This window comes from Homo sapiens, chromosome 6 (assembly GCF_000001405.40).
Source record: "Homo sapiens chromosome 6, GRCh38.p14 Primary Assembly".
NCBI lineage: Eukaryota > Metazoa > Chordata > Mammalia > Primates > Hominidae > Homo > Homo sapiens.
This window is the reverse complement of record NC_000006.12, coordinates 148,006,081-148,026,615: the sequence shown is the minus strand read 5'-3', so window position 1 is coordinate 148,026,615 and position 20,535 is coordinate 148,006,081. Positions and strand designations below refer to the sequence as shown.

The 20,535-nt window shown below is 39.2% G+C and overlaps 1 long non-coding RNA gene across 1 annotated transcript in view; it reads right to left on the bottom strand.

Moving 5' to 3' along the window:
* Positions 1-282: 282 nt before the first annotated feature.
* Positions 283-20,535, bottom strand: part of LOC124901423 (uncharacterized) — a 39,155-nt gene continuing 18,902 nt past the window's right edge. Inside the window, exon 2 of the long non-coding RNA XR_007059804.1 lies at positions 283-7,838. This is a non-coding gene — a long non-coding RNA (uncharacterized LOC124901423). The remainder of the gene's footprint in view (positions 7,839-20,535) is intronic.

The following is a 20,535-nucleotide window of genomic DNA, read 5'->3' as shown; positions in this document are numbered from 1 at the left end:
CGAATAATTTAGCCTTGGAGATGATGACTACCTTGAATTACTCAGTTGCTTTAATCACAAAGAAAACTAAGGCACAGGGGAGAATGCACCAATCTGGGAAAAAGGCAAGTTTGGGGCTGTTACTCTCTGGCAGTGTCATCTGAGCAGGTTGCCTGGCCTCTCTGGATTTCAGTTTCTCATCTTTAACATGGGGACTAGAGTAGAAGATCTCCCCAACTCCAGTATCCGGCAATGCATTTGTTTATTACTTCATGATCTGTGAGGGACTCAAAGCCCAGAGTATTGGTGCAGATACAGATAGTTTTATTTATTATGGCATTTTGTTCCTATCATACATTTTATGGTATTGGTGACACAAGTTAGATTACAAAAGACAGACCAATAAAAAGTTTCAGATAGAGTAATAGTTTAAACAAAGTAAATAGTTTAAAATAGAGCAAAACATAAAACACAGAAAAATAATATAACAAAATAGAACAAGCAAAGAAGAATAAATAAATGTGGGGTGTGGACTAATAGACTGTATAAAGAAACTGCATGGAAAGGACTATACAGTCAAGATAGATGAATTTATAACACTGTGTGCTGATCACAATTGCATAATGAATCATGATTTACCACACAATTTTTCCAAATAGACTTGGTGCATTGAATTGTTCTAACAGGTCATGTTTTTAAATGACTTCTGAATCTTCAATAATAAAAAAAAACTTAACAAGTGGACCTTGAGATTACTGCCTAGCCATAAAACAAGGTGATTTCACTTCCTAAAAATGAGTTATTTTTTTGTGAGCCACTGCAAGGCACATGAAACACTATTCTCATTGCTTCTCTTTCTTTATACACTTTTTTGCTCTTCTCCAATCATAAGTCATTGCACTGATGGAATTTCCACTTGCATATAAAGTAACTGGGCCATAGACATATTTACTGTCACTTTTTATAAAAAGCTATATATTTCCAGCCATGACAAGAGACCAGCTGGCTAATTTAGACTGCCTGCTGAACGTTTGAGGAAAAGTAATCATTTTATTTTTCACTGGCATACTTAGAAGGCACATACTATTCTGAATATGAATGATTATAAATATGAGAATTGTACAGATGTGCGTGGTGGGGTATCCAAACATTTTCATGAGAAATGCACAGCAATTCTTTTCACAACTCTGTGGTGGTTTTGAGTAAAGCAGTGTAGAAATGCTTATTTTTTAAGCAACAAATAAAGATTGGCCAAAATTGAGTATGTGATGTTCGAAATTTTTAAAGGACAGTTTTACTGTTAATTCATTGTGTCATTACAAAAGAAATTTTTATTTATTATTATGACATACGGTTTCTAAATATAAGTCTAATTATTAATAAACACAGTTCCTCTACTGATTGTTCTGAAATCTAATGCATGAAATTTCACTACTGTAACACTCACACGTGAGGGCTTAATTCCAGAATATAATTTAAATTTAAGAATCCTGGATTGTATCTCTGAGTATGAAATCATAGAATGATTCATGAAGAGGAAAATATTAAAAGTTTAGATTTATTTCATTATTTTCAATTTCTATTTTTAAAAATTATAAATAAAAAATGCAATTTCAATGATATGTGTGTATTACATACAAATAGACATACATATGCATTGGAGAATGCATGAATAAGAACATACAACAACAGGCTGGGTGTGGTGGCTCACTTTGGGAGGCTGAGGTAGGAGGCCTCGACTCCTGAGTGACTTGAGGTCAGGAGTTCAAGACCAGCCTGACCAACCTGATGAAACTCCGTCTCTACTAAAAGAAAAAAAAAATTAGCCGGGCATGGTGGCAGGTGCCTGTAATCCCAGCTGCTCAGGAAGCTCAGTCAGGGGAATCCCTGGAACTCAGGAGGTGGAGGTTGTAGTGAGCTGAGATTGTGCCACTGCACTCCAGCCTAGGCAGCAGAGCAAGACTCCTTCTAAAAAAAAATTTGAACAAACATTTATTTTTAAATAAAAGATATACACATGGCCAATAAGCACAAGAAAATATGCTTAATATCATTAATCATCAAGGAAGTACAAATTAAAATCATAATAATATACTAATGTACATCCTTAAAATAGCTGGAATTTTTAAAAAGGCCAATCATACCAAGTGTTGGTGTAGATATGTATGTATGTCCACAAAAAGACATGTACACAAATATTCACAGCAATTTCATTCACAATAGCCCCAAAACTGAAAATAACCCAAATATCCAACTGGTAAATTGATAAATAACTTGTGATAGACACATACAATTCTATTCAGCAACAAAACATTACATTGATATTACTGACACATGCCACAGCAGGGTGAATCTCAAAAGCATGATGTGAGAGAAAGAAGCCAGGTACAAAAAGCACAAAAGGGATTCATTCTTTCTGTTCCTGCCTGTCTCTGTCTTTGTCCCCCTCTGTCTCTGTCTCTGTTTCTCTCTCTGTGTGTCTCTTTCTCTCTCTCAGTGGTCGCTAAAATCTTAGAGAGATGAGGAACGAACTGAGAAGGCACATGAAGAAACTTCTGGAGATGCTGGGAAGTTTGATATCTTGTCTGCATGGTGATATCATGAATGTATACAACTGTCAAAATGATCAAACTGTACACTCTAAAGGGATACAATGGATGGTGTTAAATTGTAGCTCAAGAAGGGTGACTAAAAACATAAAAGAGGAAACAACAAAACTTTAAAAAACATACATAAGCTTTAACTACGAAGTATGAGTGAATCCTACGGCCTTTATAATGGTCATAAAATAGCTCATATGGTAAAGCAAATGTGCTCAAGTTCGGCTGCCTACAGTATAACTTTGGTTGAGCAATGTTCTCATTTTCTCTGTATCTCAGTTGGTATCTATTAAAAAGGAGTATGCTAACAGTACTTACTTCATAAAGTTGTGAGAATTAATGAGAAAATGCATGTGAAGTATTTCTCAGTAATTAAGTACCATTCTCTTCAGTAACTGCTGAGGGAATCAAAACACATATTTAATGCTGAGGAAAACTTAGTTATAAAGATATCGAATAAAATTCAGCTTATAGAGGTTAAGAAAATATGGCATAATCAAACATAATTGATTTAGATTTAAAGTGGTTAAAATGCCCCTGTAAAAATCATTTCATCCCTGTCGTTCTTATAACATCCTTACTCTTTCATCAATTTCTAATTTGGTCATTGCAAAACTTACTTAATTTCTTTCTCTCCAACTCAGAAGTTTCATGAAACAAAATATACCAGAAGTAGCCATTGGCTCACACAGTACCAGACACCTAGAAGATGCTCAGTAAATAGGCATTAATCAGATGAACGGAGGTTGGCTAATTAATGGGGCACCTAGAAGATGCTTAGTAAATAGGCACTAATTAAATGGATGGGGGATGGCTAATTCATGGGCTGCTGTATGACTGAGCACGGAAGTGTGTGGTATATTGCAATGATTTACATTTTTATTTTCATTTCTAAGCTGTGAACCCCATTCATCACTAGAAACCTTACCAAAAATTCTGATAGGTAAAACAGGCAAACCGAGCTCTGTGCTGCATGCCGCTGTTAGGGAAAGCAGGAGCCTAGGGGAACCAGACTGCTGCCATTTTAAAATCAACTTCATTTTCAAACTAGCAAGGTACATTTCTTGCCAGTCACGACCCATGGTCCTAAGATGCTTATAGTTGAGGAAGCAGCCTAAAGATACCTACAAGGACATGCTCTCACAATAATGGAGAATCCAGATGTCCCAATACCCATAACGATAATAAGCTTTCAAGATAACAAGTTATGTTTTGATATACTCACATACTAAAATGTCAAGGATAGACTGGCGCCAGGCACGGTGGCTGGCGCCTGTAATACCCGCACTTTGGGAGGCCGAGGCGGGTGGATCACCTGAGGTCAGGAGTTCAGGACCAGCCTGGCCAACATGGTGAAACCCCGTCTCTACTAAAAATACAAAAAAATCAGCCGGGCGTGGTGGCGTGCCTCTGTAGTCCCAGCTACTCGGGAGGCTGAGGCATGAGAATTACTTGAACCCAGGAGGCAGAGGTTGCAGTGAGCCCAGATCGCAGCACTGCACTCCAGCCTGGGTAACAGGGCTAGACACCGTCTCAAATAAATAAATAAATAAGTAAATAAATAAATAAATAAATAAAATGTCAAGGGTAGTTTTCTTTAAATCAGTAGAATAATATATTTTGTCATGTCATCTTCTCACTCTTACATAGTCACAGCTTAGTTTAGTCTTTACATAGAGAAGACCCCTATATAAGAAAAACTTAAAGATGGTGCATTCCTCTGCTTGTTTTCTCAGGATGCCCTACTCTGTAATCGGTAACTTTCAATAAACTATCTCTTCCCACTACCAGGCATTCCTCTTCTTCCTTTCTGAGGGCATTCTACTCCATAGAGCAGTTTTTAATAAACTTGCCTCTTTCACTGCCCTTTGTGACTCACCTTGAATGCCCTCCTGCGTGAGATCCAAGAACACTCTCTAGGGGTCTGGATTGAGAGTTAACACTGCCTCCCACCTCCACTCCACCTATCTTCCAGTGGCAGTCACGAAAAATCTTCTCAATATGCAGTGGGCAGGACCTGCAAGGAGTCACGAAGGACTGACAGGAATTTCACAAGGGAAAAGGGAAAGACTGATTGGAGTGGGAAATACACATACAGGATGCCAGGCAAAGCCTGGGCGGAAGGGGCGGGGCTTCGTTTAAAGTGCTTTTCAAACATGCTCCTTGACTTCCTGTTTCTCTCTGCAGTCTGTTTTCTACCTTCCAAAGCCTAGAGCTTCCCAGAACCATTTCTCCTCTGGGTCCTTTCCTGACCATGCCAGGAAAAGGAAATTTCTCCTGACATTGCACCTTCATGGCACTTACTGCACTTCATCAAAGCTAGAAATGCCATAAATTGTAAGACACACCATTATTTCACACACCATTAAGAGAAAATGTTGCCAGTTAAACTATGACGGTATTTTTGTTTTTTAATGACTTGAAATTCCTATTCTAACTTACTGAATGAGCTGCTCTAGGATTATTTAGACATGGAAGATGTGCAACTGGTGATTATGAATTTGACTTCTTTAATACCTTTAGCATTGACAACATACTTCAAGAGCACCAAGGTTTAATTAACATAACCTTGTAATTTCATTTTTTTTTCCCTGACTGAATCACACGTGGCTGGAAGTTAGATGGCTTTGTTCAGTCAGCAGGAAGTTCAGTGGAATTTCAGTGCTTTAATGTTAAGTCCTGCACAATGAATGAACTGGTAACACCAGCTTCCTGGCACTTTGACATTTCCTTCATCTAGTGGCAGATTGTATTTTCCAAATACAGCTGCAACAACATCTCCTAGACCATATGTTCTAGAAACTTGCTACTTTCCAATCAAGAGGTGAAGTTAATTCCCCTCCTCCAGAATCTGGATGGCTTCTGAATCTCTTGGAAACCAACGGAATGCAGCAGAAGTGACTCTATGTGACACTGGAAGCTGGGTCATAAAAGATTTGGCTTCGACCTTGCTCATGGGTCACCAGCTCTAGCTCTTGAAGCTTTTGGCTTCCATGTAAACAGTTCAGCTAATCTGGGTCTGCCAAGTTATATCAAAGCCCAAAGTAGTCCATGCAGAGAGATCACAGGAAGAGGCTTGGTGGCTACAGAAAGACAGAAAGATGCCTGACCTGCTTCCAGCTGCTTCAGCCCCCCCACTGTCCCATCTCCAGACACGTCAAACTGCAACTGGATGACAGACATTAAGCTGGAACTTTGCAGGCAAGCCCTTTCTTAGCCTGACCCATGGAGAATGTGAGAGATGATAAAATTATTAGGATTGTTTTGGAGTAATTTGTTGTGTAGCAAGAGGTAACTGGAATACACCTATTTCCAGGAATTTGGCAATTTCTCCTCCCTTTAGGTGCACTGTTTGATCTGTGCTAGGCAATCCTTTCCAGTTGTCTCAGGAACAGACATAACTGGCTGCATCTATTTGTTGGCACAGGTTATGCAAAACACTTGGGTTGCTGCTTCACAAAAACATATGGACTTGTGATCACATTTACTTCATTGATACAAATATTTCCTCTATTAACATATCATACATGCCTTGCAGCACTATTTCCATTCCTTTATGTATGTAATAACTTTTTTCAATGAGAAACCATACAGTACTTTTCTTAGAAGATATTTTAAATGGCACTATAACTCACGATATCCACAGTGAGCATAAGTCATGCAGAGAGGACGATCGGGTCAAGGCCAATTTCTAGAATATGCAATCACAACTACATTTTGAAGACTACCTCGCCATCAGTGGAAAAAGATGCCACCCATTTAAAGACACATCCCAAATGTGAGGCATTAAAATACGAGACTTTAGAATTAGAGTGAAGGAAGTATGGCCCTCTCCGTTCCTCTCTCATGGCAGGTATCATATATGATTTTTGCCTCCTACTCTAGGTATTTGCGTACATCAACGTCAAAAGCGTGATTTGAAACATTCTGTTTATCTCCCAGTTTCAACTTCATCCTTTGAGCACTGCCTTCTATGGGGAATCCTTCAATCATCCAGAGAGGTTCCATGTTAATATCACACTTTGTGACCTCAAATCCTAAGATCTGATGCATAGACCTTTTGGGGGCAATTCTTCGCTCACTTCTCACTGGCTGTGAGTTTCATTCCCTACAGTGACTGTTCCAAACCTTCCCTGGTCTTCATAATTTCCCAAGATCATTCCTACCAACTAGAGAATTGAATAGTAAGATATCAGAGGGGTAAGAACCAAGATTTGGTGGAAAACAATGTTGAATTTGCAGACTTTTACTAAGCAACTGAATATCTTTCTGGAAGGGCTGTAGTAAGGAGTAGGTAAAAGTTATATGCAAAATGTTTGACATCAGAGTGCCTAAGGATAGTAACGTTAGTCTTAGTTTTCCTTATATTACCTCCTATTTTGCAGAAAGGATAAAGACAATTTCTTTCAATTGTTCTCCATTTCATCTAAAAATTCATCTGTATCTACATTTACTCCACCTATCTTCATTGCCTCTTGTCTCATAAAGAATATCCCCGTTCTCCTGAGAGTGTGACTTGAACACCATAGTGGCTTAGTTTCTTCATAGACAGATTACAGGTAATGGAACTACCCACTTCCAGGGTTGTTCATTAGAATGTAATGAGTAGATACATCTTAAAACTTCAGGTCGTTTCCTGGCACAGGTTAAGTACTAAATGTTAACAAGTAATCTTAGCATCTTGAATTTCTCATACTTTCCTCTAGTGGTCAACAGGCCCTGCTTAGATAAATATAAGTTGTTTGAGGTGGAGAGTGGGAGTGGATATGGTGCTTTCAGGTTTGAGTGTGTGCAGTATTAGAAAGAAGAACGAGAGAGTTGGAAATGAAGCTAAAACGATTTCTGTCATTAAATTAGGACAGATCATTTCTTCAGGTTACTGGTTTCATCATTGTTTTTCCTTAGTCTTTGTTTTTGGAAAACCTGATGGAAATTGTACCTTGAATAAACAAGTTAACAAATATTTATGGATTAACTGAATATATAATTTGCTTTCACATGAGAGTCAATGGAAAAGCAGAGTTCAAACATAGAATTTCACTTTAGTCAACTTTCAAGGGGTCATTTTTTTTAATTTGCAGAACAAATTCCATGAATAATAGGACTTGGTCCAGGCTCCTAACCATCTTTCATCCTTGGGTGTATCCATCGGCCTAGGAACACCTAACACCACGTGATGTTTAATCCTACAGCAAACCATCGACACTTTCAGCTTGAATGATCATGTATCACTTAGTTTTCAAGGTACCACCTTCACTTCTAAGGATAAAACAAAATCCAAATGTTAGATTTATTTTTTTTCCAAATATTGATAAACTTTATAAAAAGGTTTAAAAAATCTTTCATTATTAATTCATTAGCTTACTTCATTCATTTTTCTTGTTCCTTTGGACTTGACTAACGTGGGTTTAAACCCATTGTTGCTCCCTTATGGAAGTTATTTTACCTTACTGGGTAACTGTTTTCTTCACATATCAGATACTGTTTAAGAGGCAGTTTTGAAGATTAAATGAGATAAGGTTGAAAGCAGGTAAAAGGGTACCTGGAACATAATAAGTGATTTAACAAAGCTTAATTTAATGGCAAACTCCCCTGATTCCTCTTGACATTTTTTTTTCTTTTCATATGGGGGCTGGCCTATAAAGAGAATTTAATTCTGTCATCTGGGCATTTTATCTTCTTAGTCTCCCAGCTTTAAGAGATTAAAAGGGTTTTTAAACATTGACGTTGCTGGAATTTTATTTACAGTTCATATCTGTTTAATTTTTAATACTCCATGGATGTGTGGAAATATTTTTTTCCTCCCTTTCTTTTTAGAAAAGAATTTCCCCCAGGTTATCCTCCATTAAAAGATATGCTTTAGATAATCTTTTCTGGAGACAGGATAGAAACCATATCCATGCAGATATTAACTAGATTGACAAAGTTGTTGAGATTACTGTAAAGTACACTCTAAATTTATATACTAAACTCCTGGAGTATCTAAGTCATTGTTAGTCATTGTTCATATTTATTTTAAATAAAAAATCCTTCTGGATTGTGTAAGAAAAATCAGTAACTGTATTAACAAAATACAGTTGAAGGCCTCCAACAGGACAGTGGAGAGATCATCTCCATGTAGTGAAGACCAAGCGTGGTGTGGACCATGGTCCCAATTGTTATATCCACAATTCACCAGTGCCATGACCATCTCTCCTTAATCACACTTGACATCTTTCTGCTGACTTCCAGGGCGTGAGGCTTTATAATCAAAATGCTAACTCAGAAGAGCTAGGCAGTCCCTTCCTTAATAACTTGTGACCTAGCTCAGACATTTATATAAGACCTTGTTAGAGGCCTTGTTAGAGTGATAGAAAAACATAAGGCTATAACATCACACACACACACACACACACACCCACACACACCCACCCCAGGGTAAGCGCTCAGCTCTTTCGTCTCTTTCACACAGGCCCATTTTCTCTGTTTCAGTTTAATTCAAGTGCATCTACCTCTTCTCCACTGTTGACACCAGAAAACTCCCTTCCATATGCCCTTGTGGAACTCACTATACTTCGTTCAACAAACGTTCAGTGACTACCTGCTATGTGTCCAGAATAAATTAAGAATACAGTTTATGCCCTTTATCTTCTTGAATCACATTTTCTCCTGTCTTATGCTACTCTTTGGTTCAGAAATTCGCTAATGCCATGGTTCATATGTTTCAGAACATTGATTTACATTTCTTACATTCATATAGACAATATTTAGCATTAATAATTCAGCTATTAGTACGTGCTTCTGTATACAACAAAGGCAAATAATTTGTCTGTAAATAAAGTGTGATTTGACTAAGGTGTTTGGAATCCACAGTTGGGCACAGCACTAGGTAGGTGGCCTAAGGCACACAAAAAAGCACTGATTTCAAACCCTGGCCTTGCCATTAAGCAGCCAAGGAGATTGGAGTAAGTTATGTAGTTTCACTAGACTTCCGTTTCTTTACATGTAACATGACTGGTTTGCCAGATGATCTTTCTGGACCTTAGCTCTAAAAAATTAGATTCGACCATGTGTCTTATGTTTTGGTATTGCACTGAAAATATAAAATAAGAGACTGATATGGTTTGACTCTGTCCCCACCCAAATCTCTTCTTGAATTGTAGCTCCTGTGATTTCCACGTGTCATGAGAGGGACCTGGTGGGAGGTAATTGAATCATGGGGCCAAGTATTTCCCGTGCTGTTCTCGTGATAGTGAATAAGTCTCACGAGAACTGATGGTCTTATAAAGGGGAGTTCCCTTACACAAGCTCTTTCTGCCTGTCACCATGTAAGATGTGATTTTGCTCTTCCTTTGCCTTCTGCCGTGATTGTGAGGCCTCCTCAGCCATGTGGAACTGCGAGTCAATTAAACCTCTTTCCTTTATAAATTAGCCAGTCTCGGGTGTGTCTTTATTAGCAGCGTGAGAACAGGCTAATACAGAGACACTTCATGAGTCAAAGTTTTCAGAAATGATGATTGGCTGCTGAGTTGCTCAGTTACATTTATTAGTCCAACACCACGTGCTTTAAATAGGACTCAGCACCCAGTGGGGATTAGCATGTGCCTTAGTTTGAGAATCTGAACTCAAGTCATTTGTTAAGAAAGTGCTCCCAGGAGAAACTGAGAAGCAAGTCTGAGACGTTGAATAAGGAATGGAAGAAGCCAACCCAAGGTGCAGATCTCACAGGTGAGCTCTATGGTGTAAAATGTGGCTCAGGATTTGTCTCACTTGGCAGGGAAGCAGGGCTTCATACTCATGTACCAGAAGGTGGTTAGCTAAGGCCTGCCCTGGGGAGAATGTAAATTCAAGGCACTTCTGGCTCTTTGAGCAAACAAGCAGGTCCCTGAGGAGTGTCATGGGTACAGCCCACTGGAAGCAAAATGGGTATAAGGAATGAGGAACAAAAATAGAAAAAGGAATCTAGGTATCTGAGCAGAGATTTGACCATGTGCACTGCAGGGCCTATGAGTTAGAATGCTTTCAGATACATGTAAGAGAAAACCTACTTCAAACTGTTCTAGTCAAGAAAAGGAGCTGGCTGGCTCCATTCAGAGATAGGGTAGGTTTCAGACATGGTATATTCTGGGCTCTAGCACCCTTTCTCTGCTGTCCTGCAGGGTCTGTTCTCCTCCGAATATTGTGTCTAGTGACAATCAGCATTATATATCTTTTTTCATATTTTCTTTCCCAGCTGCTAAAAAAATTCAAAGTTTTACTTTAATTGGAATATATTAGGTCAAATACCCTCTTCTGAATCAATACCTGTGGCAAGGTATGTGTATTCCTATGACTGACAGAAGCTAGGATGGAGCCAATGAAGAGTGTACCCAAAGGGAGAGAGGTGAAATGATTTGAGGAATGAGAAAAAAGATGACTGCAATCTTTTGCTAATCAATTTCCATCCATATCCTCCTCCCTGTATCAAGCTCCCCAAATCTCAACCTCTAAATGAAAGCTGTGGTTCACCACTAGGCTGCATGCTGGGATCACCTGATGCCTGAGCTCAGCTCCCAGGGATTCTTATTTAATTAACCTGGGATGCAGCCTGGCCATAGAAATTTTTTAAATTTCCCAGGTGGTTCAGTTGTGCAATCCAAGTTGAGAACCACTCTCTAACGGGAGACAACCAAATCATCTTACAGTTATCTCAAGCGCAGGATTTCTGAGTGAAATTCTTTCTTAATCAAATTCTGACATAACTCCTAATGGCCAATAACAAGTCAATAAATGGTACATTACCCATCATTTACACTCTTCAACATACATACAATGGTGGAGAGAGAATGACAAGCTACAATACAAATTTCCATTTTAAAAAACAATAAGAAGCAACACAGAGTGCCCATTGGTCCATAGCGCATTTCATATCCTGCTGGACAGAAACATGGAGTGATCCTTGTTTTGCAGGAGGAGTGAATGATTTAGCTGGCCAGTCTTGTAGACCTTAGTCCTACTCTCTGGGAGGATCTTCTTTATCCTTTGTAGTGCAGGGTTACATCAAAGATGGACATGGGGTAGAACTTTCTTTCTGGGTCTTCATCACCCTGGGGGTCAATATATGTGATTATAAGAGCTTGGAGATTGCCCTAGGGGTGAACAATAGCCAAACTTTTGTCTTGGGGAGTCTTTAGGGATTTTAGTTGCTGGGAAAGAACGAAGGATTAGGTTCTTCCCAGATATCAGCTTTATCTCCTGTGATGGCTCCTACCTCCCTGCTTTTGTTCCAATTTACCTTACCTTGGGGCAGAGAATATGATTTTTTTCAACCTGTCTGTCTACAGATAACCCAGCTTTTACCCATTTAGGAAGAAAAACCATTTGTTGAGAGTGTCTGTCTCAGAAAAGCTATATTGTCTTTCTTCTTTTCTTTGTTTGGTTAGTTTCAGACCAAATTTGTCTTTCTGTTGAAGGACTTTAGTGAAAGCTATATTTATTTTCCTGTGAAATCACCAAATGCTACAATCTTGTTGGCACTTGAACTTTCTTGTAAGGTACAACAGGAAATCATAATTAGCCAATTATTTTGTGATTTTATAAAAAGATTTACCAAATTCTGACCATAGAGGATTTTTCCCTATCGCTCTGCTGACCTAGATGCAGTTTATTTCAACATTTTAGGATATGTTGTGTGCAAAACACCATTCCTGTTAGTACCAAATTCTGTATCTGGTAGGAGGCTTTTGTTTATAAGTAATACAACACCACTACAATCAAGCTAAGTCATGAAGGACCTTAAATGGCTCATGTAACTGAAACTAAAATGTTGGGGAGGTGGGTGCACTTCAGCTAGAGGTCCAGTTCTTCCATTCCCCTACATTTCTCTCTTCTCCTTCATTCTTTATGGATCAGCCTCATCTTCAAGCTGGGCTTCTCTTGGAATCATCAAATTGCTGCAGCTAGAACCCAAAATACACACCTCTCTCCAGAACACGTGTGGTGTGATTAGAGGGGTATGGGTAACATTTCTCTCTTTAACATTGAACAAGAATTCAGAGTTTCACTCTAATTAAATAAAATTACATCACACAATCACCTCTGGGCAGTCACTATGGCAAGAAGTGGGAGACTGCCTTGATCATTGACTCAGGCTCGCTACCCAGTAGCCTAAGTTGGGTCAACCCCAAGAAACACTTATCAATGCCTGGGATGGCCACCAAGGAATATATTAGAGAAATAGAAAAAAAAGTCATTTGCTCATATTTTAGGTGTGGATGTAAAGACACGGAACATCAATGAAGAACTTTTCTATTTTCAAGTGAAAAATGTATGAATGTGATGAGATAATCATTTGGTGGATTTAGCGAATTTTTTATTTGTTTGCTTTAAGCAAGTATTGGTATTAAAATCTGTAAATCTTTTTTTTTTCTTTGAGTCCTTCTGATCCCCAGCAGGTAAACAAATAATACTTTAAACTTAAAAGCAATGAATACACAAAATTGCTGAGCTCCTAAGTGCTTAATCAGCTCATGGTTGTTACATTATTGCATTCACATCAACGTTATAAAAATATTGCATGGCAAAATTCTGGAAATGAAATGGTTAACTCTGGGGAACCCAAGTGTGTTAGCAACTCTGGTTCACAGGCGCAATTCTGTGTTACTGTCTCCAGCATTCTTCCTCTCTGTGTTTTTTCTTATTGCTAAATGCTAACAGCCTCAACATGATAATCTACATAAAGCACCCCCATAATCATATTAAAATTAAGGAAAACATGTATAAAACATCTTATTTCTGCTTAGTGACAGTGAGCAGGGGGAAAATAGGCAGAAGAATTTTTGTGACAGTTTATATTCCAACAAATAATCACATTTTATCCTCTTAATAGGTTTAAAGTGCACTCCCAAAGCCGATTATACATTTTATGCATTTAATGATAATCACACTTTCCTCTTATCTGCTGTGAATATCTTCAATTTAAATATAAGTTTAATTGATGCCTATCATTTAATAATCATACTATGATCCAGGCCAATTATAACAATTCTTTCCTATAAAACTACAGTTGTTAGAGGAATGTCGAGTAGGAAAATGTTTAAATCCTGACATAAAAATGTCTGTGATAAAACCAGGAGCTCTGAGTTTCATGGCCCTTTAATATTGCCTCTGAAGTAATGAAAAGGCCATTTTCCAACACTTGTTTCAAGGACTTCACTAATAACATCTTCCACAAAGGACTGATCTTTTTTTAAGCGGGATATTGTGACGTTATTCTAAACCATTTAAAATTATGTAACAAACTTTTACTGGAATCTCTCAGTCTTCCTTTTTTATTCACTCTAATGAAATACTTGTTAAATACTTCATCTTAACCTTATGGAAATGCTTATGACAGACAATCTGTTATTTAAGTCAGTTTCAGAATTAAAGGATAAGAATTGGGGGTGGTGATGAGGAAGGAGGTCATAAATAATCTAAAGAATTAGGAAAAAGGCTTTTCTTTTGGTCTTGATTCAATTCATCTAGATTGCAAAAAATATTGTGCTATGATAGCTTGATACTAATCCCTGGGGGACAGTGCCTTCCATGCAAACCTCCTCTTGGGTATGAGTGGCTGTCCACTTAGAAAGAACCTGGCTGGCAAGGAAATTGCTAGGTCTTGAATGGGTCAATGGAGTCAGCAGGGAATCTTTGCCGAAGTCTATGTGTTAAGCGCTGCGGTCCACTCTGAGGGCCCTGAATAATGTCAGTCACACCAAAAAGGAGAATTTTGGAAACTCCTAGAATAAGGTTGCCTAATTTAAAAATGGCTCAAGGTGAAGTTCCCCTGGAGCACAGAAATCCAAGGAGAAAATCAGTTTCTACTTTCACTTCATATGGGACCTCTCGCTAGGAAACTGCAAAGGGTAATTATGCAAAATGCACATCAGAATGTCACAGACAATCTGCACAGAGGGAAAGGTGATGCAGTAAGAACCTCAGGCACTGGCTTTGTGCAGCTCAATTTTCCTGGGAGGACTAGTGTAGGGGGGTGAGCTAGGAAGTGACCAGTGAGGAATCAGAGGGCAGCTCCACCAGTTAGTGCTATAAATAAAATGAATGAATGAACTAAGTAAAAATCAGTCTCTAAAGAAAGATCTTCCTATCACAATGCTAGAGGGTGCAGATGCTTTTACCTGCATCACACTTTTCCACTTTCCTTTCCTTTCCATGGGAATGACATGAGTACTGAGGTAAGAACCATTATCAGAATTTCAGAATAGTGCCTGGCACATTTTTAGCTTAGCTATTTTTATTAGTCAATTTTCACACTGCTATGAAGAATGACCTGAGACTGGGTAATTTACAAAGGAAGAGGTTTAGTAGACTCAGTTCCACATGGCCAGGGAGGCCTCAGGAAACTTATAATCATGGTGGAAGGTGAAGGGGAAGGCAAGGCACGTCTTACATGGTGGCAGGAGAGAGAGTGAGTACAGGGGAAACTGCCACTTTTAAACCATCAGATCTCATGAGACTTCCCTCACTATCACAAGAACAGCAGTGCGGGGAACTGCCCCCATGATCCAATCACTTCCTACGAGGTGCCTCCCTCAACACATGGGGATTACAATTTGAGATGAGACTTGGTTGGGGACACAGAGCCATACCATACCATTCCACCCATGACCCCTCTCAAATCTCATGTCTTTTTACATTTCAAAACCAATCGTTCCTTCCCAACAGTCCCCCAAAGTCTCCACTCATTCCAGCATTAACTCAAAAGTGCAAGTCCAAAGTCTCATCTAAGACAGGGCAAATCCCTTCTGCCTATGAGCCTGGTAAAATAAAAAACAAGTTAGTTACGTCCAAGATACAATGGGGCTATAGGCATTGGGTAAATGTTCCCATTCCAAATGGGAGAAATTGGCCAAAACAAAGGGTCCACAGGCCCTGTGCAAGTTCAAAACTTGGCAGGGCACTCATTAAATCTTAAAGCTTCTTCAAGTCCCACTTCTGACTTAAAAGAAAAATTAAAAAATTTAAAAAAAACCTTAAAGCTCCAAAATAATCTCCTTTGACTCCATGTCTCACATCCAGGGCATGCTGATGCAAGGGGTGGGCTCCCAAGGCCTTGGGAAGCTCTGCCCCTATGGCTCTGCAGGGTACAGACCCTGTGGCTACTTTCATAGGGTGGTATTAAGTGCCTGCAGCATTTCCAGGCACACAGTGCAAGCTGTTGGTGGATCTACCATTCTGGTTTCTGGAGTATGGTGGCCCTCTTCTCACAGATTCACTAGGCAATGCCCCAGTGGGGACTCTGTGTGGGGGCTCCAACCCCACATTTCCCCTCTGCATTGTCCTAGTAGAGGTTCTTCATGAGGGCTCCACCCCTGCAGCAGACTTCTGCCTGGACATTCAGGCATTTTCATACATCCTCTGACATCTAGGTGGAGGCTTCCAAAGCTCAACTCTTGTCTTCTGCACACCCACAGGCCCAACACCAAGTGGAAGCCACCAAGGCTTGAGGCTTGCACCCTCTGAAGCAATAGGCCAAGTTGTACCTTGGCCCCTTTTAGCCACAGCTGGAGCTGGGAGTGGCTGGGATACAGGGCACTAAGTATCAAGGCTGCACAGAGTTTAGTTCCCAGTAAGTTCCTCATTTCCATCTGAGACAACCTCAGCCTGGACTTTATTGTCCATATCACTATCAGCATTTTGATCAAAACCATTGAAAAAGTCTCTAGGAAGTTCCAAACTTTCCCACATCTTCTTATCTTCTTCTGAGCCCACCAAACTGTTCCAACCTCTGCCCATTACCCAATTCCAAAGTTGCATCCACATCTGCAGGTTATCTTTATAGCAGTGCCCTCCTCCCATTGCCAATTTTTATGTACTTGTCCATTTTCACACTGCCATAAAGAAGGACCTGAGGCTGGGAAATTTACAAAGGAAAGAGGTTTAATTGACTCACAGTTTTTCATGGCTGGGGAGGCCTCAGGAAACTTACAATCATGACAGAGGGTGAAAGGGAAGCAAGGTATGTTATACATGGCAGCAGGAGAGAGAGAGAGAGAGCAGGGGAAACTGCCATGTTTAAATCATCAGATTTCATGAGACCTCCCTCAATATCATAAGAACAGCATGAGGGAAACTGCCCCCATGATCCCATCACCTCCTGCCAGGTCCCTCCCTTGATATGTGGGGATTCCAATTTGAGATGAGATTTGGGTGGGGACACAGAGCCAAACTATATCACTATATCTTCTATATCACTATCTAAACTATATCTTCTATATCACTATAGAAGAAAAACTATATATTCTTCTTCTTATAACTTGATTCTATCCTCTTATGGTGTCTTAGACAGAATGCCCAAATGGAGGAGCATAGTATTTATATCAATGAAAGTGTTAAAGAACAGTTGCCTTATGTATTTCATGGCATCACTTCACTGGAATCATTATATTCCACATGACTGCTTGGGTCAGACCATGAGATATAATATAATATGGACACTTGTGTTCTAGAAATAACCACAACTACATCATTCTAGGAGCAAAATATCAGAGAAGAAGATTCAAATTTCTTCTAAGTTAGAAGTTTATTTTAAATGTTATTCTCTTCTGCTTAAATTTCAGTTGATTCCTTCTTCATTTCACTAGATTTGAAAAAAAACTATCCCATCTATAAAATAAGTTTGATGTTTTCTATTGGAAATGAGGGAAAGGGCTACATATGAGTTAGCAGGTAGGATCATACAAAAGACAAGATGGCTTATCTCACAGAACACAAAATCATAAAATTTTAGGGCTGAAATGGACATCAGAGAGCATCTAACCTAAGTATTTCATTTAAAAATGTGAAAAAAGAAGCCATATAGGTTATTTGCTTAGTGAATTAGAAATGTGGTACCAATATAACACCATTGCTAAAATGATGGAAACTGTTTCAGAAACTATTATGCATAAAAGACATTAAATTGATAATATTGGATGATGACTTCCTGTTAAATTATAACCAGAATTAGAATCATAATGTTTCTATAATTGTAGGTACTCTACTCACAAAAATATGAAGTATTTAATCTTAGTAGTAATTACCATATTTAATTTAAAAAGGGAGATTCTTAATATATTTTCCAAATTGAAGAATTTATTTGACTTAAGTTATATTCAAGATATAGTTTTTTAAAATCAAGACTATGTATAGCCCTAAGGCTAATATTGTTATCCCCAAACTTTTCCCATATTGGAACTAAAAAAATATATTTAGCTGTCTTGCTTTATCTAAGAACAAGGAGAATATAAACGGTATAGGAAACCTAAATTTACTTCTGCAATATATAAGGCTCTCTAATTAAAAATGCTCTGTGTGTTGTAATTGGCTAAGTTTTCATTACTGGGCTCTGAGGTGGTGGGTGGGGAGGTTACAAAGATCTCGGTATATATTTTAATCAAGACACATGATGCGCAATTTAAGAAGCACAGTTTACTTTCTTTATACCATAATGGTACCTTCACATTCTGAAAGAGAAAAAAATGGACACTCTGCTTCCTTTCAAACTTGTTTGGACACAGAGTTTTGAATGAAGGAGATAACTGATTAAAGCCGTTTGGCAATCAATGTAGCTGAGGACCACAAGGAAATAAAAGACTAGACAAAATAACATCATAAAGTATGTAGAAAAAGAATCATAGCCTTGACTGGCATTCTGTTTAATCAATGTAGCATTTCACACTGTCTAGCTCTGACTTTTCCACAGTTGGTGAATTGGAAGTCACGTTCGTTAAAGCAAATAGGAGTTGCCTGGCAAAATCCTTAAACAACAATGAAATATTTAGAGGTAATGTTTTGATGTGACATCCTGGAAGCTGGCTCTATATTTGTAGATGACATATAACTCTTGCTTTCATAAATTTTCAACTTTCTTTTCTGGCACATTCTGCAGATTTTTTTTTTTTTTTTTTTTTTTTTTTTTTTTTTTTTTTTTTTTTGAGATGGAGTCTCACTCTGTCACCAGGCTGGACTGCAGTGGCACGATCTTGGCTCACTACAATCTCTGCCTCCCGGGTTCAAGCGATTCCCCTGCCTCATCCTCCCAAGTAGCTGGGACTACAGGCATGCACCACCACTCCTGGCTAATTTTTTGTATTTTAGCAGAGATGGAGTTTCACCATGTTGGCCAGGATGGTCTCAATCTCCTGACCTTGTGCCGCCCACCCCGGCCTCTCAAAGTGCTGGGATTACAGGCGTGAGCCACTGTACCTGGTCAAGAATATTCTAATAGATAGATTACCAGGGGAAAAATGTATACCTTGACTAAATAATAATACAGTCTTTTTAAGTGTGTGTATATAACCCCAAACCTAAAATCCTCATTGCATACTTCTTGCTGAGACAAGAAACTTTACATTTACCACATCTTAAGATCTTAATAGAATCTATTTTGTTGGATTACGGTATAATAGGCAACCAGGTTTTCAAATATTGAGCATGTGGACACAAATACAACCCTTCAACACAAATCATAGCAGCATTAGTTTTTAGAAACCAAAGGAGGAAAATACCAGTAAGAATAGAGAAGAAATAATTTTCCACCCATAAGAGCATCTTTTTCCAGGAAGTTCTTTCTGGCTTCTAATACTGGTTATAGAAAGAATGTGTGAGGCTACCTGGGCCTATGTGGGGTCCAGTTTGTTTTCTTTCGTGAGTCCTCAGGGAATTAGGTCAACTAACAAATGCCTGATTGTCCCAGAGAAGATACTTAGAACGGGGCTGCAGCAGTCAAGTCACAGTCAGAGAGTGACCTTCTTGGGTGAGAAGCAGGGGGGTCCCATGCTCGTCCATCAGCATGTTGATTCATGTACGTTTCCTGAGGTTCATGTCGAGAATTCTCAGTAAACACGGTCACCTGATGGCAGGTGATAGGAACTGTCAGCCTATTTGAGGAATTCTAATTGATTTCATACCAAAGAGTAAGCTGTCCTTCAGAATCAGTTCTTAACATCCTGAAGTTAGAAGGCACTGGCATAACCCTCTACAGGCCGAGCAGGAAGTGGCATATTGCTGAGATCTGCAGACATTCCCGTCCATGCAATCTTCAGCTCTCCTGCCATCCCTGACAAAGGCTTCCACTGTGTCAGGAAGAGCACATAGATTAGGAAGCTCCTTTTCTATATCCTGCAACAGGGAATTGCAATCTGAGTATCTTTTTAAATCCATGGGAACATCAAGGAGGTTTAAATCAAGATGCATTCTTCAAAGGCTACACCGAGAACTCCACACGCACAGCCTCCAACAAAGCCCCCAGGTTTCTCCATTGAGAGAGGTGGAACAGTGATAAAGAAAAACATCTTACCAGACTACTAATGCAGGCAATTAAGGCTATGAAATTTGAATCTGTCAATGAAAATGAATGCTCAATAAAGGAACATCCAAAGAAACAGCATGCAGCCATCAAATATTTCAGGAGAAACCAGGAGAGTGAGTGAGGTCCCAAAACCATGAGGAGCCTGGGAAACTTGGATTCAATGCACCATGTTTTATTAGCCCCTCAGGCAAAGAGTACACCAGGCGCCACAAACAAGGTAAGTCTAATTTTTAACTGTGCATCTGGGGTACCTACTCCTTGCTGTTATTTCTGGCTATATTTTCTTTCCTTCTTTTGTTCTTTTTTCTTTTTTGAGATGGAGTCTCACTCTGTCACCAGGCTGGAGTGCAGTGGCACAATCTCAGCTCACTGCAACCTCTGCCTCCCAGGTTCAAGTGATTCTCCTGCCTCAGCCTCCCAAGTAGCTGGGACTACAGGCGTGCGCCACCACGCCCAGCTAATTTTTTGTATTTTTAGTAGAGATGGGGTTTCACCATGTTAGCCAGGATGGTCTCGATCTCTTGACCTCGTGATCCACCCGCCTTGGCCTCCCAAAGTGCTGGAGTTACAGGCGTGAGCCACTGTGCCCGGCCTTCTTTCCTTCTTTCTATTCCTCCCCTCTCTATTTCTCATTCTATTCCTTCCCAT